This window comes from Homo sapiens, chromosome 9 (genome assembly GCF_000001405.40).
Source record: "Homo sapiens chromosome 9, GRCh38.p14 Primary Assembly".
Classification (NCBI taxonomy): domain Eukaryota; kingdom Metazoa; phylum Chordata; class Mammalia; order Primates; family Hominidae; genus Homo; species Homo sapiens.
In genome coordinates, this window is record NC_000009.12 from 106,308,166 (window position 1) to 106,335,937 (window position 27,772).

The 27,772-nt window shown below is 37.4% G+C and overlaps 2 long non-coding RNA genes across 3 annotated transcripts in view; both read left to right on the plus strand.

Moving 5' to 3' along the window:
* LOC107987108 (uncharacterized) overlaps positions 1-27,772 on the plus strand; it is a 675,821-nt gene that overhangs the window by 379,185 nt on the left and 268,864 nt on the right. The gene's annotated exons all lie outside the window — the stretch shown is intronic.
* Positions 1,442-27,150, plus strand: LOC124902240 (uncharacterized). The gene is made up of 2 exons (XR_007061716.1): positions 1,442-2,324; positions 5,001-27,150. It is a non-coding gene; the product is annotated as an uncharacterized LOC124902240 (long non-coding RNA).

The following is a 27,772-nucleotide window of genomic DNA, read 5'->3' on the forward strand; positions in this document are numbered from 1 at the left end:
TCCACTGATGCTCTTCTACCTTCCAAATTATTTTTCAAACCAGTTTTATGAGAGCCATTTTTCCAGGGATGAAGCTTTTCAAGCCATTCCAATACATATGTTTTGGTATAGAAGATATTGCAGTATAAGGACTATAAATGTGGTCTCTGAATCATACTGCCTGATCTGATGTACTAGCTGATTTTAGCCTGTTGATGCCTCCATTTTATCATCTATAAAATGGGATTATAGTAGGACGCATCTCACAGGATTGTGTAAAATTACAGATCTGCACTAAATTAATGGTTCTCTGCTGGGAGGCCCTTATTGCTGAAAGAGTCTCCAGAGGAAATGATGGAGGCAAACTTGGGATTTGAGTCCAGGTCTGACCATCCTAAGATAATTAATAACAAAAGTAGAATTTTGTTGTGAAAGAGTTGGAAACTACTCCTGGGAAAGAAAAAATATGAAAACCATTTTTTTGCCCATTTATTTAACCTTATTCAGTCATTCACACCTCCATTCAATCCCTTCCTAAGAGCTACATCTAATAAAGGAAGGCAACAATTTTGTTTTTCTATAGTGCTGTAGAAAAATAATCTATGTATTTGATATTTTTTCTTTATATGATTTTCTTTTCTAATTTATTAAAGTAAAATGGTATCTTAATTTTTTACAGTTGGATATTCCTTGACTAAATAATATAAAGTTATTAAAATGATCATTATGAAGACGTAGCAAAATAAAATTTATATTTTAATAATTGATTCAGAAAACATTTACTGAGATACCGTTCTATGTCAGGCCCTGTACTAGGCTGTATGGATGTTGACAGGAAATGTGGCCCCGTTAGAAGCAGTTTACATAAAACAGTCAGATACATAAACAGTCAAGTAATATATAAATATTATCACAGAAATGAATATAGGGGTGAGAAAACTCAGGGAAAGTATTCCTGACGAGAGTTATGGCTGGCACTTTTTAAGGCCAAAGTATGGTTTGCCAAGGCCAGAGGAAAGAGGAAGTCAGCTTGCAATAAGGCATGAAGCTTGAGAGATTAACGTTGTGTTCAGAAAAATGTCAGTGGTTGGGCCACAGAGAAAAACATGAGAAATGGAGAAGTAAGAAATGAAATCATAGGCCAGGCGCAGTGGCTCACGCCTGAAATCCCAGCACTTTGGGAGGCCGAGGCAGGTGGATCACCTGAGGTCGGGAGTTCGAGATCAGCCTGATTAACATGGAGAAACCCTGTCTCTACTAAAAATACAAAATTAGCCGGGCATGGTGGCACATGCCTGTAATCCCAGCTACTTGGAAGGCGGAGGCAGGAGAATCACTTGAACCCGGAAGGCAGAGGTTGCGGTGAGCAGAGATCGCACCATTGCACTCCAGCCTGGGCAACAAGAGTGAAACTCTGTCTCAAAAAAAAAAAAAAAAAAAAAAAAAAACAATCATAAAGGTGAGGAGTTAGGGTTTTAAATTGAGGGTCATGGGAAGTCATTAAAAGATTTAATTAAGGAAACCACATGAACTAATTTCCAATTTTTACAACTCCATGTAACAAAAGTTTGGAGAAAGAAGTGAGGAGAGATGGTTGAGTTTTTAAATCCATAAGGTAATTGATGCAATTCTTGCAAGAAAGGGGGAAGTTCTCCAGTATCATATGTTAAATATACACTTATATTTTTCTCTCTTACATAATGGAAAACAAATAGCCCATTTTTTATAAGTTCATTCTTTAGCTATGCTATTGCTGTTAATCTACTCTGTAAAGAAAGGAGGAGGGACAAGGGTTTAAAGAGTATTTCTTAGCAATTAAGCACCATGATGATTGCTTTTACATGTTAATAACATTGTGAAATGGGCATTGTTTCTAACCATTTTCAGCTGAAAAGTCCCTGAACCACACTGGTTGTGAATATTTGTCCTTTTGTTTGAAGATATTCTCAAAGTGAAACCATTGAGTTCAGAACTTCGGAATGTCATTAGAGCAGCAACAGTTCTGCTCATTATTTTTCTTATTCCCTGCCTCCATACCTCAAACCATTCATCTGTGCTATTCATCATACATATCAGCTCTCCCATTTGGGGGGCACATAGTAGAATTGTACTCTCTTGCTCCTTTTTGCTTGGGTGGGACCACAGGACTAGTTCTAGCCAATGAGTTTGAGTGGAAGTCATAATTCATGTTACTTCAGAACTGGATCATTTAGTTGCCACTGCGAGATACTCCACAGCTGTCTCTCTTCTCAGTCATGTTGCCCTGTTATCCTGAGTTGTGAGGATGATGATGACACTAGAGCAAAGCTCTAAGCTGAATGATCCACAGTGGACATGTTGTATGAGTGAGTATTAACCCTTGGTTATCTTAATTTAGAGTTTCTCAGTCTCAATCCAGCTAGTCATATTTAGGGCTGGATAATTTTTTCTTAGGGCGTTGCTGTGGTTTGACTCTGTGACCCTACCCAAATCTCATCTCGAATTGTAATCCTCACATGTTGCAGGAGGGACCCATAATCCCCATGTGAGGAGGGATGGAAGTAGTTGGATTATGTGGGCAGTTTCACCCATGCTGTTCTTGTGATAACGAGTAAATTCTCATGAGATCTGATGGTTTTATAACTGGCAGTTTTTCCTGCACTGTCGTTCTCTCTTGCCTGCTGCCATGTAAACATGCCTGCTTCCCCTTCCACCATGATTGTAAGTTTCCTGAGGCCTCTCCAGCCATGTGGAGCTGTGAGTCAATTCTTTTCTTTATAAATTACCCAGTCTCAGGGAAGTTCTTTATAGCAGTGTGAAAACAGACTAATACAGGGGTGGAGTGATGTGAAAGAGCTCTTTTGTGTATAGGATGTTGAGCAGTAACCTTGGCAGTTTCTCACTTGTTGTCAGTAGCACCCACTTCCCCAGTTGTGACAACCAAAACTGCCTTCAGACATTGCCAAATAGGGCTATGGGGAAGATTGCTCCTGATTGAAAAGCACTGTTTTGAGCCACTAAGATTTTTAATCATTGCAGTGGCATAACCTGGGTAGGACTGGCATATACTCCAATTCCTTGCTTTTATCTTTTGCTCCCTCTCTTGTAAGGTTAATTCTTCACATATACTTTTGATCTGTGAGACGTTATGTTTTATATCTTAACAATTTTTGACCTTTTTGTGCATTTAAAGCTATCATTCAGTTCAAATGCCATTAAAATTTGTCCTTTCATGATCTCTACTCAACCTAGACAAAACAGTTTCTCATAATAAAAGTGTCTCTTGGCAACAGTTGCCATTAAAACGAGTTAGGATTTTTTTTTTAATTGCATCCCAGTTTAGTTTATTAACAGTCTTCAGGCTGCTACCACAAACTGGTTCATTTTGGTTTACTTGAGGACACACACAAGGTAATCAGGAAAGTTCTTGTTTTTGACAAATTTGTAAACAAATTGGGCAGGGAATGAGTATTCTTAAGAAAATATAAATCATAATACAGTGTATGGTAAAAATTCTTTTACCATATACGTAGTGTTTAAGTGGTACCTGACGCATAGTAAGTACTCAATAGATCTTAGCCATTGTTATTATAAACACTATTATTTTTATACTATTTTAAAATCATGTTGAAATTCCTGATTTATTTCCCTGTTGCCTGTACTACACAGTAAAACTCTTCAAAAACAAGGACCATATCCTACTTGACCTTGAATTCCCAATGTCTGGCTCTCTGGTATAAGGAAAAAATATTGAATGAATTAATATAATTTAAAGTCAAAGTGGAAGTGATAACAGATTTAACTTGGATTTAGGAGAAGAGAGCAAGCTTTGGATTAAAGTATTCTAGGGATACTTCAGGAAGCTGCTTTTTTAAGGCAAGATTGAAGAATTTAGGTGAAAACTCTTTGTACTTAGAGATTCATAATTTCCATAGAGAGTCATAATTTCCATAGTAGGTTATTTTGTCTGTTTATTTTTAGGAATAAATAGTATCAGTAATACAGTGTGAGTTAAATTGAAACTTTGGGTCCAAGATCTGCATGGGAGTCTTAGCTCTAACACTCACAATCTGTGCAGGAAAACATATTGTTTCAGACCCTTGACTCCTCCATCTGCAAAATGATAATTATTAATAATATCTATTCTGTATACATCACAGAAGTGTTATAAGGATCTCCATAATGTATATAAAAATACTGATAAAATGCCGTTAACATGAAGTGTATGACTGAGAGTGGTTTACAGACACCATTGAAGAATATCCAGAGACTAAACAAATGTCTTGCTGAGCATCTGGAACTAGGTCTGCAGAGACCTATAGAAATGACTTATATTTCATACCTGGGCAACTAAGAGTGAGATGACAAAGTAATAGATGCATTGGCTTAGCAGTAACCGGAAACCTGGGTCCCCACCTTGGTAGCAGTTAGGAGTACTTGGGATTAGACAACAGGACTGTGTCCACTGCAAAATCCAACCCTGGCCTATCAGTCATCAGGAGGCATAGAGAAGGTGAGGTGTTTTACTGTCCTGTTGTGATCTTCTTCCTGTTGGAGGTCATCCTGACTACAGGTAGGTTCCATGCCAATTTCTTACCATATTTGAGGCAAAGATAAAATGATTTGAGGGAACCTCTCAAATGGCTTATTGAAACGGAAGAAAGAAATTATACAATGAGAAAATGAAGAATGAGAAGGGATTGGAGATGAATACCAAAAAGTTGACAAAAAGGCACTTGAACCTGAGGCAGAAAAAAAGTGAGATAGAATCATAATCCCTGTAGCTATTAAATATATAGGAGGATTTTTCCCACAAAAATCAAGTCTTTTACAAATGTGTTACTTCATACTCCCTAGAAAATGACAAAAGTTTACAAGTATGCAAGAGAATTTCTAGAGAAGGGGCAGATTTGGGTGGTTTGTAATATCCTGTGGCTTCCTTTCTACCTGATATGGCCAATCAACAGACAGGCTGTGGTTAGAGAGTCTGCAAAACCCTGCCTGAGATGCTCCTTAAACCCAGTGACCACTTTTCTCTCCAGCTGCCTCGCATGATGGCAAATGGCATATTTAAATGGTAAAAGGCTTGATCTCTATCTCAAAACATTTGACATACTCACACTGAAGATGGAAAAAACTGTTTTTGATGGCTTCAGAGGAAAGACTGTGTACTAAGAAGAGGTAGGTTTTAGCTCAATATAACAAATTTCTTTCCAAATATGAAGGTGCTCTAAAAGTTGAATGAGATGCCTGATGGGACGATGTTTGTCCTGTTACTGTAAGTGCTTATTAAGAAGGTAGATAAATACCCTCTTGGCTGGACTGCTGTGGGTAGGAGCTTTCCAATTCAACATTTGTATCACTTTAGTCCTGTCTTCCACCCAGCATAGGAATTTCCTCCATAGCGTCCTTGGAAAATGAGTATGTATTTGTTAAGTGTGCATATTACTAGCTGCTGCTTGATCTTATAGAGGCTACAAATTATAGATTTATAGAACAACTTTCTTGGAAAAGGTATGGGGAATGATTTCCAGAGTGCAGGTGGAAAAACCTCATTCAACCAGTAAACTAGCAGGAAGAATATCCCTCAGTTTGAGAACGTACTGAGAAAGATTCAAGTTCTAGTAGTTACTGTTTCTGTTTTATCTTCTATTAAAGATACATAAATTATTGTCTGCCGATTATGTTAATGTTTAGAACTTTATAATTTGAAAAGTATTTTCATATTTTAAACATTTTATTTAGACTTCAGAAAAACTTCACTATTATCCCATTTCATAGGGGAAGACAATCAGAAAACAATAGATACTAAAACTTGAATTTTCCTCTTTGTGCTGAGACTATGTTAAAGACTTCGCATGCTTTACTTCTAGATCCTATAATACCTATACAAAGTGGTCATCATTTTCATTTTATTCCAGGAAACTTAGAGTAGTAACATAGACCAAGGTGTGAAGCAGCAGGTCCCATAAATTGGGCCACCACTAGCAGGACAAAAGGTCAAATATTCAGATAAAAAAATATAAGAAACAAGAGTTTAGGGTTCATCAACACTCAATAACACATGAGGATGACATGGTGTCTGGCCTCAAAGAGCTCATGATCTAGAAGGACCTGGGTCACATGTCTGCGTTTTGGCCTAGGGACCTCAGCAACCAGCCCAGAACTTCATCTAATGTATTTAATGTAATCTTGACAGTAACCTTACAAGAAAGGTATGTAGAGATTGAAGACTTGCCAAAAGCCACACAGTTACTGGATAGCAAAGCCTGAACTTGTAGTAATTCTACTGAAATGTAAAGTTCCATATTTTTCCAAAGTCTCTAAACTTCGCTGAAAATTGAGCTCAGTAAATTTTATTATTCTCATACTTAATTGACTCTTTGCCTACAAAAGCTGCTTCCATCTTTTCCCATGTCACTCAAAAGCTCATATTTCAACAAATAAACTCCCACTTTAAAAAAAAGATTTCTAGCCATTGCCCACATTCCATCTCAGAATTTATCTTCCTTTACTCACCCTGGACTTCTGCCCTTTCTCCTTCTTTCAAAAGAAGCCATGTGTCTTCATCCTAAGGTGAACTTCTCTACTGGGTTTGACTCAGATGAGTATAATGGAGAGAACACTCATGGAATTATGACCACTGCCCGGGAGTCCAGGCTGTACTGCTGGTTTCTGGTAATACAGGGTCACTTTCCCATGCAGGGCAATTTTCACTGTGTTTTTTTTTTCTTCTTAGAGAGAATTCACTATATCTAATTTAACTATAATAACACCCTTGAGTTAGGCACTATTGTTATGTCGAATATATTGTTACATGCACCTTATATGAAACTGAAACTTTGAGAGATTAAGAAATTTAGCTAGTAGCACACAGAGAGTAAGTGATACAGTCCCAAATCTCTCAGAACCTATTGAATGCTCTAATCTGTGGCTTCCCCTCCCCAAATTCCTTTTCTATAAATTGAAAGAGTTGGTTCAATCAACTTTATTTTATTTCTAGTGATGTTTCTTTTAAAAAAAAAGATACGAGGAACCCAAAATATATAAGGAGAAAAGGCAGTGTTTAGAGTATTTTTGAGTTCAAAAATATACCTATTTTTATAGATTTACATGTATATTTATTTAATTATACCTATTATAAAGTCAACTAAAATATTTCAAAATTATATATCAATAAAATTTTGAAATCAGGGGTTATGAGGGATAATTGGTGTCTGAATCCAGCTATTCCATTGATTTGTTTTGGTTTCATGGCACAAAAAATCCTGATTCAGTTAGAGAAGTTATTTACAAAAGATAACAGTTTTTCAGTGGTTAAGCTTATTCTTCCATTAACAATTAGTCAAGATAAAAAGAAATAATAAAATCTTTTTTCTCAAGGTGAACTCACTAACATCGAATAGCTACTCACTTTGCATTACTTGGTAAGTGTTTCATTTGGGGAGTATTAATAAACTGGCTTCTATAGAGTTGGGTGAAATGTCTTTGGAAGGAAATACTTTTCAAATATATCTGATAACAATATAAGATTTCTCAGTTATTTTATTAAAAAAACTCAGATGCCTTAGCACCTCTGTCTGTCATATTTCAAGGCTGTAAAAATCTACTTTGTTTTCCATTCAGTAGAAATTTCAAGTTTCAGTTTCCTTGCTGACACCTTATTTGCAATTATAAGCATGAAAACACCAGGATTCTGAAAAGCTGTTGTATTTTTGCTAGCTACTTAATGAATGGAGTTCCTTCACTGATACACACATTTTTTTTTCTTCCTTAAAATCTTTGAAATATTTATGCTAGCACCTTGCCTTTAGTTCATCATAAAACCTTTCTGTAAAGAAGGCTATTCTGGAACATACTGCCAATGTAATTACCAGCAACTCTGAACAACTGCAGTTTTAAGGCTGCATCTTAATATAACTGATTATTTATATGGCCCGATCCAACACTGTTTAGAAAGATGCTTGCATGTTTGTAGGAAGTTAACACCTAGTGTTTGGCTATACAGTGCCATCAAACAGTCATTAGACTACTTGAACACATTGGATAGTAGCTTTAAAGCAAGCCATTACATCGTGCTTTTCCCAGACATTACTTTCACATCAATTACTCTTTGGCCAGTTTAAGGTAAACTATCTTCTTTGTTTTCATCTGCGTGAACCCAGTATAGAAAAATAAGAATCATGTTGAAAACCACACTATTAGTAGTAAAGCCTACCAAAAAGTTCACAAAGTGACTACTTTTACTAATCCGTTCTGTAATTTGGATGTTAAAAGTTTCACTCCCATGTACACATATCAACAGAAAATGGGACCAAGCGAATTTCAGGACTTCACAAAACAGAATTCAAAAACTATAAAATCAGAAAATTTCCAAGTTTCCTTCCACTCCCAGCTTTCTATGTTTATGGCTATTTTATTGTGATCATATTATTTTCTCTGAAGTTTCTAATTCTCTTTGCTCATTTATTTTTAGTCTTCTCCACTGCCTCCTTTCTGTCAGAGAATATGCACCTTTGAAATGTGGCAAGTCTTACTGAGGAAATTAATATTTAACTTTAACTTAAGTGGAAATAGCCACATGTGACTAGCGTCTACCATGTTAAACAGTGGAGATATAGAATAATACATGCTTTTTATAAAGTATTAATATAAAACAATCAATGGAAGAATAAATTCAAAAGGCCAGTAAACATATGCTCACTCAGATATCAGTTTTCCCTTTGCAATTGACAAAAAAACAAGATTGGCAATATATATTTTAGTTAAGGTGGGAGAAAATGGATTCTCTCATACTCTCTTGGTGGGAGGGTATTAATAGGATCTTCGGAGTCACTCTGGAAGTATTTATCACCATTTTAACTGTCTATATTCTTTTCTCTAAAATTCCAATTCTGGGTATACACCTTACATAAATACTGGCATAAAGATGGACAAGAAAGTTCATTGCAACACCATTTGTATTATTGAAAAAAGTTGAAAATTCTTAAATGTGAGGCCACATGAGCAATACATTGCACAACTCCAGGCGACATTCTTCGCCCTGTAATCTGTATGGATGGTAAATTTTATGTGATACACTCTGAAAACCCTGATATCTCTAACAATGTCAGAAAGCTGAATGGGTTATAGTATATCTCTTCTGCACTACAGAATATTAGATAGTAAAAATAATGGAGTAGATCTCTATGTACTTCTGTGGATATATGCAAGCTAGACTGTACCAAAGAATACCACTTGTAGCTTGTGCAATAAAATACCACTTATATTTAACAAAACAATGACATTCAAAACAACAAAACAAAACAAAATTGTATATGAGAAACTGTAGGATAAATTTTAAGAGTATGGACTGTGGAACTAGACTAAGATGGAACTGTATGTCTGAAACTCACTATATTTCCTTGGAAAAATTGCAAAGCATTAATCTCTTCATCTGCAAAGTGGGCATAACAGTAGTGCCTACTTCATGAGGTTATAATGAAGATCAAATAAGTTAACATATAAAAAACCTTTAGAAGAGGGTATGGCACATACTGAACAGTACTAATATCACTATTATTATGGGCATTATTTTTACAACATATTTGTGTGTACTTGCATAGGAACATAAATATAGAGAGAGATATCCAAAAGAATATACACCAAATTGTTAACATTTCCTTCATCACAAAAAATTCTACTTGACAGCACTATTCTAGATATTAATCTTTTATTTTGTACTTTACATATATTTCTTCAAGACTGTTGCCTTTTAAGATGGTTGGTTTCTTTTGTAATGCAAATATTTTTAATTTTATGTAGTCTAATATATTAATTTTTTATTGGCCTCCTTGTTGGCCTGCCTGGCTTAGAATAGTTGTCTAAGTAAAAATTTGGAAAAATGAAATGATCAGGTTACACTGGGAGTTTAATTCTTAGTGTTGTCATTTGGCTGCAGCTCAGAGGGCAATGCCCCGTTTAATTGGGGCCTCTGTTCCCTAGTTGTCATGACTCCCTTTGCTCCCTATCACCGCACGTATGCTGTTGGTATTTTAGCCATGATTGCCTATTTGTTTTCCTTATAGGAGAGAGCTACTTCTTGGTCCTGTGTCTCTATCAAAACTGAAAATGTCAAAGATCAACCAAAAAAAAAAAAATGCACTTGTGGTTTGTCTCACATCAAGCCTACTTCTCTCATTTATATTCCTGTGTACCTCTTTAGATATCTGAATTTGTGATTGATCTGGGTGTCTATTCCTATGCCCAGCTTAAAAATTATTATGACATTCTATAATCTGTTCTATATTTTGGAATAAATAATTAAAATATTGATTATCTGTTTTTTAACCATATTAAACAATATTTAACTAATATAAATATGGTTTATCTGTTAAATATTGTTTATCTGTTTTTCCAACTCACTTAAAAACCATGTCTTGAGGTCCTATTTAAAGAATAATAGCAACTAGTAAACTAGTAAATAATAGCAACTAGTAAAGTGTTGCCATATTCTCGCAATAGTCTTGTGAATAGCTATAGATTAGGAACCTAGATCATAGACAGGTTAAACAATTTGGCTAAAGTGACACTGCTAATAGTGGTAGAGTCAGAATTTGAATCCTGCTACTGATATCCCAGAGCACAGCACAAACTCTGAAGCAAGTAATTAATTTTTAAGGAAAAAAAGTAAGGAAAAGAAAATCTTCTAAGTAAAGTAATTTTTCTAGGTTTGATAATTACTGTTTTTCTATATCTTCATCAGTTTTCTAGTTTCAAATTTATCAGTTGAAATTGTTGAGTGTAGTCTCTTATGACATTTACTAGCTTTCAACATCTATTTTCATGTCTCCTGTATTGTTCATAAGACTGTTCGTGGAAATCTGTTTTTCCCCCTCTGATAATACTGCCCAAAAATCTGTCTACTTTATTAGTCTTTAAAAAGAACACATTAAAAATTCTAATCAGTATGATCTATTTTTTAAAATAGATTTTATTTTATCCTTTAAAAATCTTCAATAACTCCCAGGTCACATTTCTTTTGCATTATTTTGCTTCTCCTTTAAGATTCTTGGGTGAGGGTCTGACTCGTTTATTTTCAGTCTACTTTTTTTGTTATACAGAGTTCTATGGCTTTGCATTTCCTTTTGTGCACCCCATTTGGCTTCTGTCCACATGTTTTATTATGAAAGGCTCTCCTTTTTATCATTTCTGAATTATTTTCACATTACATTTTGATTACTTCTTTAACCTAGCATTCTATCAAAAGGTATGCTTAAATTTCCAAATAGACAGATTATTTATTCTTCCTTGTTTTTGGATTCTGTGACAGAGAAAATGCCACGAGTTTACCCAACCCTATTTCAGGTCTCTTCTTTTCTGGGCAGGTGGAAGCTCCATACTCCCTAACACTTGCAGTTAGACAAGAGCACAAGACTAATTCTGGCCAATAAAGTGTGAGCAGAAGACATGTACAAGCTGAGTCAGTGAAAAGCCCTATTTCATTGCACAGGTCTTTGCTTTTCTGCCCTCTTGAGGGGTGAAGGCTAAGTCCTTTGTCAGGATAGCTGAATCACAGAGTGAAAGAATCTTTATTGACTGTAAACTAGTTCAACCATTGTGGAAGTCAGTGTGGCGATTCCTCAGGGATCTAGAACTAGAAATACCATTTGACCCAGCCATCCCATTACTGGGTATATACCCAAAGGACTATAAATCTTGCTGCTATAAAGACACATGCACACGTATGTTTATTGCGGCATTATTCACAATAGCAAAGACTTGGAACCAACCCAAATGTCCAACAATGATAGACTGGATTAAGAAAATGTGGCACATATACACCATGGAATACTATGCAGCCATAAAAAATGATGAGTTCATGTCCTTTGTAGGGACATGGATGAAATTGGAAATCATCATTCTCAGTAAATTATCACAAGAACAAAAAAACCAAACACCGCATATTCTCACTCATAGGTGGGAATTGAACAATGAGATCACATGGACACAGGAAGGGGAATATCACACTCTGGGGACTGTGGTGGGGTGGGAGGAGGGGGGAGGGATAGCATTGGGAGATATACCTAATGCTAGATGACGAGTTAGTGGGTGCAGCGCACCAGCATGGCACATGTATACATATGTAACTAACCTGCACAATGTGCACATGTACCCTACAACTTAAAGTATAATAAAAAAAAAAAAGAAAGAATCTTTATTGGTGAGGAGAAATAAACCAGAGGCATACCTAGAATGGATTTTGCAAGAAAAATACATTATTGTTTTGGGCTACTATTTCGGGGTTTATACCTTTATTTAGTACAGCCTATACTGATGAGTGCAAATCATTATTATTACTTCTGTCAATATCTTCATAGTCATTGGTATGTTCTCCTACCAACAAATTAGGAAACATTTCCTAAATTGTACATAGTAGCAACACAGTCAAACCAAAAATGTTCAGTAGAGGGGAAAGCCAACAAACTCTTCAGTACCATCAATTTAATGAAGTAGCTGTACTTGTGCTCTTAGTCTTCTATAAGCAAATGCAGTGTCATCCATTCAGTCATTCATTTACATTTCCCAATCCCCTATTCTTTATGGGATCTTGTGATGAGCTCTTTGGAATCCCACTATGAACAAGAACCCACCATGGAAGAAAGTGGCACGTTTTTCTAAAATTTCTGAATAAGAATGATTAAGGATGATCCAAAGCTGATGCTCTTTCCAGCATCTATGGCCTTTGATTCCTCAAATGGCTGCATCACCCATCTTTCTCACTCCTCCCATGATCATGGCTCATTATTGAATTTTTCTGATTTTGATTATTTTTCTAATTATCTCTTGTTTTGGGGGTTTTATTTTTAGCCCAACTGCTGCCTCTGATTTGAGCATTTTTTTGCACATGCTATTGTTTGCAGACACATTTTGGCTGAGACCTCATCTGATGAGCCATTTGTTAGTTCTGATTGAGTAGGTCACTTGTGGGCTCAATTAACCACTTGCCCTTCAACTGATGGTGCAAGTGGCCAATTGCACCTGCAATTAGCTAATTAAGGGTTTGGTCATTTCCATAGGCAATTTTGCCTTTATCTAATTGTGGGACTGCCCAAGCTTCCTTTCATCATTTGAGCATATACCAGCCTGTATGGGCAGAGGATGATGACTTTTGATGAAGGTAAAGTAGTAAAAAGAAAATGTAAAATTTTAATGCTCTAATGCAATTGTCCAAATTAGATTAAATATACAAATTAAAACTCTTGAATTTGTTCTGTTCATATTTTTTAAAGTCTCTATATAGATGGTTCTAAAATATTTTGCATAATGGGTATCTGTCTAAATATTTAGAATTCCTGAATTGATTTTGTGTGTGTGTGTATGTGTGTGTCTGCACATGCACATGTTGGGGGATTATGCATGTGAACTCATCCCAAGAATTTGCAATCCTGGTCTGAAAGAGCTGAAGGTACAACAGAACATAAATCATTCTCTCCTACAGAGAAATCAGGGTAAAAGAAGGCTGTAAGCTCGAGAGGAGAGGAGGGAATCCATCACTCCTAGCCTTTTGATAAATGCTTTACAAATAGCACTTAGTGGGCTGAATATTTCATACAAGATCCAGGGAGCAGACTGGAAGCACATTTTTTTTTAACTTAAAGCCAGGACAAAAGAACTGCAAACATCTCAGAACCCCTCTTCTGCCTGTAACATAAGCTGAAACCAGTCAAGTTCTTCTCATCTAGAAAGTAACCAGTTCGTAGACGACAATCAGAGAAAGCACTTATTGTCCAGAGTTTTCATTGTATATAATCTTTTGGAATCACAGCCACACAGCCAATTTCTATGGCCCATCTGTCAGGACATTGAAATTGCTTTATTATACAGAACCCGCTCACAGATTCTGTGGATTCAGTAAGGAATATTTACTGAGTGTCATCTGAGATCTCAGAGGTTCCATAAAACACTTAATTAACATACAAAATCCACTTCAGCTAAGCCTATACCTACTTTCTGAATATCAGTTACTGATTTGATTACTCCTGAGGCTCGGGTTGGCATGGGGAAAAATTGCAGAAGCTACTAGAGAACAAGCTAGAGGGAAAGCAAGGTGGGCAGCCTCTGACAGCTGCTATTTTCTCCCCGGGGCGTAAGAGCTGGTGACATAGCCCCACCACAGAAACATAGAAAAACGGTCTGCAGAGCTGCTTTTGTTTGTTTCTTCATCTTTCTGTTTTGTTTGTAATAAGCAGGAGTGCTGTCTTGCATTGAAAATTAATTGTTTATGTTTTATCTGAGTTGCTTTTCTTGTTTACCACTTATAAGCTGTGTTATCTTATGCAATTTACTTAACCTCTCTGGGCCTCAGTTCCTTTTCTTTTTTAAAGAAGATAAAGATCTCACTCGGAGTTATTATGAATACATGAGATAATTTAAGATCAGGTGGAATTTCTCCAGCATTGTCAGCCTGTGGTGGCTAGAGACTAGCCCCTTAAGATCAAGGAGTATTGCTCATGAATAGCGCTCAGAATGTAACAGAAATATTTTGCACAGATGGGATACCGGAAATATAATTGTTGATTTACTGGGTAGAAATTGATGAGGTTACATCAGCAATAGCAATGGTGGTTCTATAGCTTTGGGCCTTTCGTGTACACATGACCTCATCTCCATGTAATGAATTTTCAAGGGTTTATGGCCATCTTCGGGTTGTCTCCTTCCTGGCACCATTATTACTATTCTGTCTCAGCAGGGTATTTGTTGAGTGCCACTAACAACAGGCAAACAATTCCTGAAAGCAAACAGGGCCTGGGGCTTCAGAGACATTCTGAGGAAAAGCAGAGAAGAAAGTCCCTCTCTCTGCTTAAGGGCACATTCCATCACAGGGGTCCTAATGCAGGGCTGACCTTTATGATGACAATTACTGGGTGTCTCCTTTCGCCTCCTCATTCCAGAGTACTCAGATATGATTAATCCCACGGGGCCTATGCTTAGAGAAAAATCCAACAGCCACCACACCTATCTTAGAATGATAGTGCTGTCTCCACTGGGCTGGCTTCCTCTTCCCTGAGTTTGCTCCCAGGAAACTCCCCATGGTTTTATGCAAAAAGGCATTTGGCAGACCTGTCCCATACTTGTCAGACATCTCCAGATATGTCTGAATCCGTGCTTAGGCTCATGCTGAGACCCCAGTTATAAACATAAAACTTCTATAGCATTTGATGCAGAGTAGAAATTTTTAAGTGTAGATCTCTTTCCTTGTTCTGGAAACCAGATTATACATTGAGATTGTGGGTTGTTTCTCAGATTTTCATTTTATTTTTTTCTTTAGATATAAGGGAATTTCCAAATTAAGGTGTTTTCAATCACAATGAAGGAGTCAGACTTCTCCTCTCAATGACTCTAAATACTGGTTCTACAGAGGAATGGAATAGGCTTCAACTTCAAGGTGTACTGTTTCAAAATGTGTCTTCTTTAAGACAAAATTGGCCCTTAAGAGTTCCCCTAATGTCATTTTATGTATCAAACAAGTTGACCTCCAAGAAACCTACTTTTTCAGTCAATTTAGGCTAAGTTTGGCTGAGGTAACAAATGATCCCCAGTCTTAGGGGTTTACAACAATAAAAGTTTGTTTATCACTGGCTTACATGTCCATCATGGGTTGGCTATGGCTCCATGTCCTTTTCACAGCAAGACTCAGGGTGGAACAGCCCTTCTCTGGAGCATACCAAAGAAGAATTGGATCCAACCTATAGTTGACCAGAAGCCACCTAGTGTTTTTAAGAGGAGAATAACATTACTAAGTTGAAATGATCACTCTGATGCTAGGGTGGAAGGAACATGAATTGCAAAGGAAGAAATTGGTAGCAGGGGAACCAATTACAAGGTATGTACCAAGTGTTATGAACAGGATATGTAATAATGGTATTATCGAATATTGTTTCCAGCATGATACATCCAGTAGGCCATGGAGAGGACATAGCTTGCACCCTTACTTCCAGACTGTCCATTAACGAGAAATAAAGGCAGGCCAGATTAGTGACCAGTTGCCGTAGAGACAGGCTAACTCCTGGAATGCACAGTGAATGCAGGGCACAACACAAAAAGCCCAATAAAGACTTCTGGCTTGTGTAAAATGACCTGCCACTCCAGAAATACCTTTGGGTTCTTGGAGAGAGGAACTGTTGCCAGCCTGGAGGCTGCAGCGGGAGTTCAGCATCTCAGCAAATGAATTTTTGTCTTCTTGCACCTGTCGGTGCCCCATAATGTCCTGCTAATCTCTCAGTCTCATTTGTCCCAGGGCCTGCTTTCCATCCGATGGAACAACTGGCAGCTCAGGCAATTACGATGGAGAGGCACCCTCTTCGAAATATACACAGGGCTTTATTTTCAGGAAGCTTGCCTGGGTTCGCTCTTGAAATTGTATTTTTGGCTTTGCTAGGCATCTCTCTGAGGTTACCATTCGTAGATACATCCGTTGAAATTTTAAGAGCAAGTCTATGACTTAGGAGGAGGGAGTGGAGGGGTCTTAGGTATTTAAATGGGCTCTTTGTAATCTCTCTCTCTCTGTGGTTCACTGAGCAAACTAGCCTTGTAGGAAGGCATTGATCATTCTCCCCACAGCCTCATGAAGGAGAATGAGCAAGCTGTGAGAGATTTATATCCAGGCTGGACTCTCCTCCAGCTGTGAGTGACACAGTCAAAGAAAGCCTGTCAGTGCCACCCCCATGGTGGGGCTGAGGCTGGAAAGATGTCACCTCCATCAGAATGGGCCGGAGGTGAGAGAACCCCCTTGATTGACAAGCCCTATCCCCAAAGTGATAAAAGAAGGGGCACTGGCACCGAAGGAAGCTCGAAGGAAGCTTTGGGGTGGGCAGAAAAGAGAGGGAGTATCATCTAAACAATTTACTGTTGTTCTGTTCTCCTCATTCAGTTCGGGGAACCAGGCTGCAGCCACATCTGTGAGCCTTCAGCTCGGCTCAGGCTCAACGTGTCTCTGGGTTGAAGAGACTTCTCAGATTTCAGGAGTCCTGCAAGCCTTTGGAATGCTTGCCACTGAGGAATTTGAACATTAAAGGGTTCAAAGGTGGTTAGAAAATCCAGTCCTCAAATTGTTCAAAGAAAAACATGTCTTCTTGGTCTTACTTTTATGACTTGAACATGAGGATCAGCGGTACTAAGGATTCAGGGGCATCTCAACCTTTACCTAGCAAGCTCTTTCTTCTAAGAAAGTCAGTATTCTGCTGTATTCTCTTAATTTTTACAAGCTGGGGAAGGAGGACGAGTAGTTATTTGGACACACAGAGCTGTTTTAGTGATATTCATAATGGAACATTGTAAATCTGAAGAGTCAAGGTTCAAATATGGGTCTCTTAGCATTTGACATATTTTTATTTTGGGTCCAGACGAAGTACATTTTTAATAGGCAGGACAACGCTTCCTGCCTTCAATCAGAGATAATACCAGACTGAGATGATATTCAGAGACAGCAAGTTGCATTTCAACTGAAGATAAATATGCCCCCATGAAATTTCACCCATTCTGGCTTTAAAACATGTTATGTCCAAGGTCAATTAATTGTACTTGCAACTTACAGCCAATCAGAAGGATGAGCTAGCATCAAGATTCTTTTGCAAAATGAAAATTTATCTTTAATCAGTGTTTTCTTTTGCTTTTCTGGGCTGTTTCTCACTTGCAAAAAAAGTATATGCATTATTCAAAAATTAGAAAAAAACGAAGAATGGATTAGCAGTGGGACATGACAATGTACCAAGACATTTAAAATAAGTTATTCCTAAATGGATTCATGCCAAATGAAGAAGCTTTCCACAGCATCTGCGACCTTGAAATTTAGCCTGAGATTCTGCTTCAGAAAACAATGGCTGAGCTTCCTGATTGAGCAAGCCTTAGACTAGTGCCTTCTACTGAGTTATTTTTTTTATTTTTGAGGACCTTTCTGGAAGGTATGTAAGAAGAATAAGGTATAGATCCTGTCCTCAAAGAAATGACAGCCCAGGGGGAATATAAGCCCCAAGCGCATGAGTGTGCTGCATAATTTTCTCAGCTTTCTCAGATTGATCATTTATAAAATTGGAATGAAAGTATTTCTCATATCTTCCTCCCTGGCTACTTTGAGAATCAAGAGAGGGAGGGAGGGAAGGAGGGAAGGGGAGAGAGAGAAAGAGAATATGAGAATGAGAATGGTTGGGAGGAATTTTGAAGACTTGTAAATTATTAAAAGGCTCTCTAGATCCATTGATGGTTGTATCCTACTTTTAAAACCTGACAGGGCATCTTTGTGTGAAGTAGCCAATGTAGCACCCTTAAGAGAAATGCCCCTTATATTATTCCCTTTCCATGGTTGCCTAGAAACCATAATCTTATTTCCCTGGCCCGCCCTCTTTTCTTTTCTCTTGTGCATGTTGAGGGTCTGATTCGAAAGTGCTGCAGCTGCAGATGTGTCCATGGTCTGCCCATGTGGCACTGTGGGGGTGAGCACTTTCTATCTGTAGACTTTGAGCTAGACATTTTCATATTCATTATCTCATTTAATTCTCTCACAGAAACCTTATGAGGTTTACTGCTCTCATTTCATGTTCAAGGAAACTGAGTTTCAGAGAAGTGAAAACATTATCCCAAGATCACAAAACTAATAAATAGCAGAGTCAAGTTTCAAATGGTGTGCTTTGACTTTGGTTTTCTTGAGATGAAGTAGTCATGAAGGCGGGTTCCGGTTCTAGTTTCTTCCTTTGAGTCTCCAAGCTTTTCACCTGTTTCTTGGCCTATTTAGCAACGCACATCAGGTTCCCAGACTCTGCCTAGGCTCTGCTCATGAATCTAAGATACTGGGGATGGGGATGAGAGGTGATAGAAAGAGTCAGGAAAGCTAAGTTCAGATCTCAACTTCATTGCTTACTAAACTGAGTTCTAATGCTCTCATTTGCAAAATAGTGATAGTAACATGGATCTCCTGTGAGAGTTCAGTAAGGAAAGATGTGTTAGAATGCAGTCAAGGCACCTGGCCCATAGTAGAAGGTGCTCAGAACACTGAATTTGAACCTGACTTCTGATTCTAACATCTTCTGGGATCAGCCCAGATCTGGCTATATCCTGGAAACATAAGTTATATTCAGGGCATTTTGTGTCATATTTGGCAGCAAAGAATCCCAGTTTTCCCAGGGCTTCTTATGTAGACAAATCCACTAAAAGATGACATAGCTTCAAATGCAACACTTCACTGAAAGACTTAGGGTCCGTTTAATTCAGTGGTTTTCCAAATTGTTTTTATTAGCAAATGCTTATTTTTAAAACAAGTCTGATAAAGAACTGCATTATACAAAACTAACCAATGAGATCTTCTCTACATGGAGAGATGCTGAGAGCCCTGGAATCTGCCAGCTCAGACTTTTAACACAACATTTCTCCTTCTAAACCCTGAGGTTTTGTAGAGCAGGATTTGAAAACCACTGGTAATACTAACAATCTCACTTTGTAGACAAGGAAACTAAGGCCCAGGAAGAGTTACTTACTAGAATGAATGCATCTACTCTAATGTATAAACAAATCATCTTCAACAACTTAGCTTGATCTTATATTTGCCTGTATAGCAATATGAGAGAAAAATGCATGTGTTTTATTTCTCTTTACAAAGGGATTTATTCTCCCTTCCTCTCTCTCTCAGAGATTATATAATAATGACTGTGTTCAGTAAGATGATTCTAACATTTAAATGGAAATGCAGAAAATAGAATAGCAAAAGCAGTTTGGAAAAAGACGTTGAAGGGCTTATACTACCTGATTTCAGGATGCATTATAAAGCTACAGTAATCAAAACAGTATAGTATTAACATAAGAGTATCCATAGAGCTCAGGGAAACAGCATAAATTGTCTAGAACAGACTCAAAAATATGCCAAGGTAATTCAATGGAAAAACAATAACTTTTTTAACAAGCTAGATAGGAACAATTGGATATGGATATGGGAAGAAATGAATTTTGACCTTTATGTTATCTCATATACAAATTAACTCAAAAAGGATCCAAAGCCTATATATATATGATATAATTTCAAGAAGAAAACCTAGGAGAAAAATCTTTACAATCTTGAAGGCAGGAATTTCTTAAGACACAAAATGCAATAACTATAAAAGAAAAAAACGTTTGAAATTATAAACAAAAATGTTTTTGCTCTTTTAAAGTCACTGTAAGCTGGACATGGTGGCTCACACCTGTAATCCCAGCACTTTGGAAGGCCGAGGCAGGTGGGACACTTGAGGCCAGGGGTTCAAGACCAGCCTGGCCAACATGGTGAAACCTCATCTCTACTAAAAATACAAAAATTAGCTAGGTGTTCTGGTGCATGCCTGTAGTCCACCTACTCGGGAGGGTGAGGCACAAGAATCACTTGAACCCGGGAGGTGGAGATCGCGGGGAGCCAAGATCATGCCACTGCACTCCAGCCTGGGTGACAGAGCGAGACTCTGTCCCCAAAAAAACCCAAACAAACCCCACAAAGTCACTGTAGGGACTATGAAAGGGCAAGCCAGGACTGGACGTGGTGGCTCACATCTGTATTCCCAGCACTTTGGGAGGCTGACACGGGTGGATCACTTGAGGTCAGGAGTTCGAGACCAGCCTGGCCAACATGGCAAAACACCGTCTCTACTAAAAATACAAAAATTAGCTGGGCTTGTTGGTGGGCACCTGTAATCCCAGCTACTTGGGAGGCTGAGGCAAGAGAATCTCTTGAACCTGGGAGGCAGAGGTTGAGGAGGTGGAGGTTGCAGTGAACCAAGATCACACCATTGCACTCCAGCCTAGGCAACAGAGTTAGACTCCTCCGTCTCAAAAAAAAAAAAAAAAAAAAAAAAGGAAAGCCATAATTCAGTGTAGTTCTATAAAGGTATAGTTCACAGTACCTACATGTGACTAAAAAACTTGTTTCCAGACTATGAAAAGAACTCATACAAAGCAATAATAGGAAGATAAATAAACCAATAAAAAAGGACAAAATATTTGAACAGACACAAAAAGAAGATACATAAATATCCACTAAAGCATGTGAAAATATGCTCGAGATTGCTAATCATCAGGAATGTAAGTAAAACCAAAACAACAGATTACTACACATCCCTAAATGACTAAAGTTAAGAGGACTGATAATACCAAATGTCGGCGGAATGTGGAAAAATTAAACTCTAATACATTGTTGGAGGGGGTATAAAATAGTATAGCCACTTTAGAAAACAATTTGGCAGTTTCTTGAAAAATTAAAATTCACTTTACCACCCAACAATTCCACTCCTAGGTATTTACCCAAGAAAAATGGAAACATATGTCTACAAAAAGACTTGTACAAAAATGTCCATAGCAGCTTTATTAATGATAACCACATACTGGAAACAACCCAACTGTTTATCAACAGGTGAATGAATAAACAAATAGATGTATAATTCTGATACAACAGTAAAGATATATCTTAAAACTAATATGCTGATGAAACAAGCCAGACACAAAAGCCAGACACATCCATATTGCATGGTTCCATTCACATAAAATTCTAGAAAAGGCAAAAACTAATGTATACTTACAGAAAGAATTAGCCCCAGTATTAATTAGGGTTGGGAAAAAGGATTTACTGTGAAGAGGCACAAGGTAATTTTTGAGGTTGATAGAAACATCCCATCTCTTTGATGGTATTGATATGAATGTATACATTTGTCAAAAAATCTTTAAACTGTACAGTTAAAATGGGTGAGTCTTATTGTGTCTAAATCACACCTTAATGAAGATTTAGAAAGTGAAATATTTTGCTATGATTGTAACGTAAAAAAATCTTTAATCACTTTGACGAAAGCAAGATACAAAAATTGTGGGCAGTCTGATTATAACTTACTAAAGTATGCATAAAATAATAATTGAAAACTCAACAAAAATCTGTTCAGGGTCATGATTAGCCATGACCTATTTCACACTCAAATATATTTTATTGAGCTTTCATTTGAAATTTTAACCATTTCACTGATGTCACACAAATAAAAAAGTATCTGCTGATACACATCAAAGATATATGAATCTGCAAATATTCAGAACCATTTTTGGCAAAAATGATACTACAATAGTAGCTGCAAAATTAAAGGAGAGAAGTAATAGATTTTTATTTAACAAAACTAGATTTTGAAAAGCAATGTTTTAAAATACAGTATTACCTAGAAAAATGTCTAAATCCTGTACATAAGCCAGAGCCCAGGGACTCATCATTACAAACTTGTACTCTAGACTAGTTTGAGATCGTCTAGATTCTAGTCTTGTCTTTGGAAACTCAATTAGTCTAGGGAAATCCGAAAGTTAAGAAACCCTATGTGTCGCAAAAATACGATCAAATGAGCAAGTTTGTTTCCCCCTGAACTTCACATTACATCTCATCTCAGGGTGATGTATTCAAATTCTCCCAATCCAAGCACTCCTGCATAGTCTTCTAGGAACAAGCACTTCAAAGTTTTACAGAAGAGCATACAGAAACTTTATTATTAAGGGGGATATATGCAGTAGAGAAAGTAATTTTAAGTAGTCCATTTAAAGTTTTAAAGTTTTTGGTATGTAAAATCTCAGCAGCATAGCAAGGTGTAATCTTTGGGCTATGTAACTTCATTCAATTCCCTCTATTTATATAACTACCTAGGGTTGACATCAAGCATATTTTTTCAAAACGTCTTCTAATTCCAGGTTTGCAATTCAACTGAAAAAAAATCAAAGACACCTGAGAACATTTTATGACTTAAAAAGTTTTCTTTTCTTGAAATAAAAACTACTGCTGGAGATCTCTCCTCCCATATCTTATCAGCTCAACTACCTAGTGTGATTTGAATCACCCGAACCTCAGCTTAAGGAAGAGAGAGAGAGAGAAAAGAAAAACCTTTGGTAAAGTAAGTTCCTTTGATCCTTTTCTGCTACTTATGAAAACTCACACTGTATGTTTAACACATTCCCAACAAGCCAGGATAATGAAGCACATGGGACACGGAGACTTAATTCCATGTCTGTTTCTTTATTTAAAAAACACACATACTCTACGGGCTGGGCGAAGAATAGACCAGTCTAGCTAGGAGTGAACAGTAAGAAGCAGTTGTGATTGCCGAGTTGGGAGATATCATTAAAAAGCAAACTGGGGAGCTCCCGTTTAGGATCTGAGGAGATTATTGATTCAAATCCTTTAAGGCATTCTTCAAAGGACTTCTTAAAAAGTTGTATTGTCTGAGGAGTTTGGGGAGAGTATTTGAGTCAGTGTGTGTGTGTGTCTGTGTGTATGTGTGTTACACAAGGGTGGAGATTAGTGGTTGGGAGGGCTGTATCTATGTGAGGTATGGGGGTGGTGGGGTGAGTTATGTGCATGGATTGTGAATAACTTTAAAGCCAGTCTGAATAAATAAGGTAATTTCATAACAGGTTTTCTAATTACTGACTTAGGTTTTGACTCCTTGATAATTCTGCCTCCATAGCTATAATCCAAGGTCCTTCGTGAATTGGCCTTTCCTCTCATTCCATACGATCTTCTACACTCCCCAGATTGCTGGAACTAAGAGTATGTGCTGTCAGATCCGACTGTCTGGGTTCAAATACATGCTCATTTGCAAGCTATGTGGCACTGTGCAACCCAGTTAACTTCACCAACTCTCAGTTTCCTCATAAATAACATAGAAATAATATCTACATCATGGGACTGTGGATTCTATTAGATAATTGCGTATGATGTGTCTTAAGTGCTCAATATGGTCAGCTGTGCAACTCAAATTTATTTTAATTCAGTAAATATTTATTTGAAAGTTTTCTGTGCAATAGGTATAGACTGTTCTCCTTTCAATTTGCATATGAGACATTGTATTAGTTTTCTAAGGCAACCGTAACAAAATACCACAGACCAGGTGGCTTAAACAATAGAAATTTACTTTCTCACAGTTCTGGAGGCTGGAAGTCCAAGGTCAGGGTGTTGGCAGTGTGGGTTTCTGGTGAGGCCTCTGTCCTTGACTTACAGATAGCACCTTTTCTCTGTGTCCCTACATGGCTTTTTCCCTGTGCAAGGATATCCCTGGTTTCTTCCTCCTCTTATAAGGACACCAGTGAAATTGGAGTAAGGCTCACCCTAATGGCCTGATTTTAAGTTAATTACCTCTTTAAGGACCTTATCTCCAAATGTAGTTGCATTCTGTGGGACTGGGAGTTAGGGCTTCAACATATGAATTTTGGAAGAGACATAATTCAGCTTTTTGTGAGTAACAAGTCATAACTCTGCTGTTTGAAACAAAGAGTTGCAGAGCCTGGAATGTGTTCCTCTATCTTTCCACTTGGTGACCTCTCTCTTACGTTCATTTAGCCCAGCTCACGAAACTATTTCCTCTGCACAGTTTCTGTTGAACTCACATACATAGCTAGATGCAATTCCTTAGATATAATCTGTTATAGCAATTAGTATATTACATTTACTCCATCTAATATAGATACATATATAAATATACACAAATGTATGTATATATATGTACACATATAAACATATATGGATAGAGAAAGAGATGGGTTTTTTTTGTCCATTTCCCCAGCTAGAATGAAAGCTCCATGGAGAAAAGTACTACTTTGATCACCACTGCATTCCCAGAGCCTAGAACATAGCTTTGACAACAATAAGTGCTGATTTTCCTATTCTTATCAGCTGTGAGGTCCAATATTCAGTAGCTCCTTAAGAGCAGAAAGTGTGTCTGCCTACCCTCCATTGCTTGCTTAACAAATCTTTGTTGAACAAAATAATGAAGGTTTTTACAGGCTGACATTCAATTCTTTGAAATTATTTGTGTGGATTACAATTGGAGAAGTTAACATGCTTATTTTGATCCAGAAAGAGGAACATAAACATACATCCTTTTGATTATGAGGCCATAGTTTAATGGGAAGAAAGGCTTCTGAGTAAAAAAACTGAGCAGAGTTTGAGACCAATTGCTAACAGCATGTTCCTCTCTTTGAGATTTTCTTTTTTGCACACAAACTTGGTTTGATAGGTTTGACTGACTTGACCATGCCTTGAGGCAAAGAAATATGATAACCATGTACCTAGGGGTGGATTAAGACAAAATAAGGGGCCATCACAGGGCTCTATCCAATTCTGGCTCTCCACAACTCCCTCTGGGTAAATCCTATAGCTTACACCTGTCCAAGGCAGCAGAAACCTAGACCATCACATCTGTCAGTGGCTGCCCAAATAATTAAAGCCATCTGTGCCCAGCATCTCAACACTTCTCAGAATCAGTGTACAGCTCCATAGTTTTTCCCATAAGAAATATCTGCAGAATCATGATGGTTAAACAATTTTTTTCAAAATGAAAATCAGAAAGATAAATTCTCTTCAATCCATCTTGACGTTATCAACAAAAAGTCCCATTAAATACAGCAGCTGAGATGTTAGGGAAGTCTTCACGATGGAGTTGCTAAATCTCCAAATCAAGTTAGAAGTCAGTGCATGTATTTGCCTGTATTGTTTTGTTCAGCATAGGGAATCCAACCTACCTGCTTTCTTTGTGTATCTAGTGATGAATATGTTGACTGATTGGAATGCAGCCAAATGCTATTTCATGTTGCGTCTTCTCCTCAGGGTATTATGGGGCCATGCAGGGCAGTATGGAAAAGAACAACACATGGTTAAGAACTCAGGCTCTGGAGTGAAGCACACTTGAATGGCAGTCCGAACCTTGTCAACTACTTGACCTTGGGTAAATTACTTGACCTTGCTACATTTGTTTCTTCATCTGTAAAATGGAAATGATAATATCTACTTTATTCCTTATGGTGAAGATTACATGAGAAAATCTATGTTACTTACCTACCAGACTATTGGTACATGGTCAGCACGCAATAAGTGTTAGTTAATACAGTTTTTGTTATTGTGGTTGTTACTACTGCCACATCATACAGCCTCTACTGAAAAGTCCTGGCTTTCAGTAGACTTAAAAAGGACAATGATTGTGAGACAGGCTCACAATTTTCCACATTCAATAGAATTGCCATGTCGTTGAGTCTGACTTGGTAATTAATTGGTAAAGTCTCTGAGATAAGGTGATATGATTAGCTCAGAACCATTCCACCTTTGATTACTCAATTAGAAACCAAACTTTATAAGATGCTTTCTATCTGCCAGATGCCGTCTTAGGTTCATTTTCTCTCCAGTGATTATTTAAGCCCCAAGAGAATCCTGTGAAGTAGCTGTTGTGAATGCTGTCCCTCTCCCACACGTTAGCCTACTGGCTTTCCAGTGGTCACACACCTAATATTGTCAAAGCTGTGAGTGTTTTGTGGACACATGTTTTTTTGTTTATTTGTTTTTGGTTTTCGTTTTGTTTTGTTTTATTTTGTTTTTCCCTTTCAGAATCGTTTTGGTTAACCTCTTTTCACTCATTCTCAATAATCCAGTTTAATCCCTTTGATTTGAGTGCGACTGAATTCATCCCTCCTGGGGCTAAAGGGATGGTAATAAAGACCTAGGACTGACCAATCCTACTAGCTACAGAGAGTTCTGTGGCACGGCTAACTTATTTCTGAACAACTCACATTGAGAGAAAAAGGGCTGCTTTTCTCCTTGAAATTGCAAGAAAGTATATCCATGGAAACGTGGAGAACTTGAACATTATACATATTGCCACTCACCTCGAGCATACTTAAAAATGAAGATTCCACAGATGAAAGAAAAGAGAGAGATCGGATAACATCTTTTGAACCCTGAGCTGTAGTTGTGCCTGAAACTAGTTAGGTAAAGTAATAGATTATCACTGTCTCAGGCTACGTTGAATTGAGTACCCTGCTAATACAGTTCTAGCCAACACAATTGGACCTGTAGAACTCCATACACCTTCATCACACAATTTAAGAATGTATGGTTAGAACAAAGGATTCCTCTTCTGTGCAAAAGGCTTTTCTATGCACTAGCCTTATTTGGGGGCACTAATATTCTCCTAAATAAGTTGGTATAACTCCTATATTTAGATGCATATAAGTCCATAAAATGTCTATATATTCTTTAAACTGATTTGATTGATCTCCTCCTTAGATTTCAGTTTCATTTAGCAGTGAAGCAGCTTTATAGTTTATACAAAATAAAATACTTGTATTGAGATGGCTCTAGTATGGTTTCTAGTTTAGTTTAATTTTGTTTTTTAATAAACTGTAACTAACTTTTTAGGGGAAACGCTAACTTTGATGCCTGAAGATATATGTTGAACTACCAGCTCTGTTACTTTGCAGCTGTGTGAACTTGGACAAATAGTCCAGCTTTGTGGAACCTGTTTCTCCTTATTTATAAATGGATATAATAATACCTACATCACAGGGTTAATACAAGAGTTAAATAAGATTGTGCTTACAACACAGTAATATTCTGTAAATGATAATGCACTGACTTGGAATATAACATACAATGCAAAGTAGGCATGCACAATATAATTTTTTTTTTTTACTTTAAGGTCTAAGGTACATATGCAGAACGAGCAGATTTGTTACATAGGTATACATGTGCCATGTTGGTTTGCCACACCCATCAACTCGCCATTTACATTAGGTATTTCTCCTAATGCTGTCCCTCCCCCAACCCCCAACCCCACAACAGACCCTGGTGTGTGATGTTCCCTGCCCTGTGTCCAAGTGTTCTCACTGTTCATTTCCCACTTATGAGTGAGAACATGCAGTGTTTGGTTTTCTGTCCTTGTGATAGTTTGCTGAGAATGATGGTTTCCAGTTTCATCCATGTCCCTCCAAAGGACATGAACTCATCATTTTTTATGGCTGCATAGTATCCCATGGT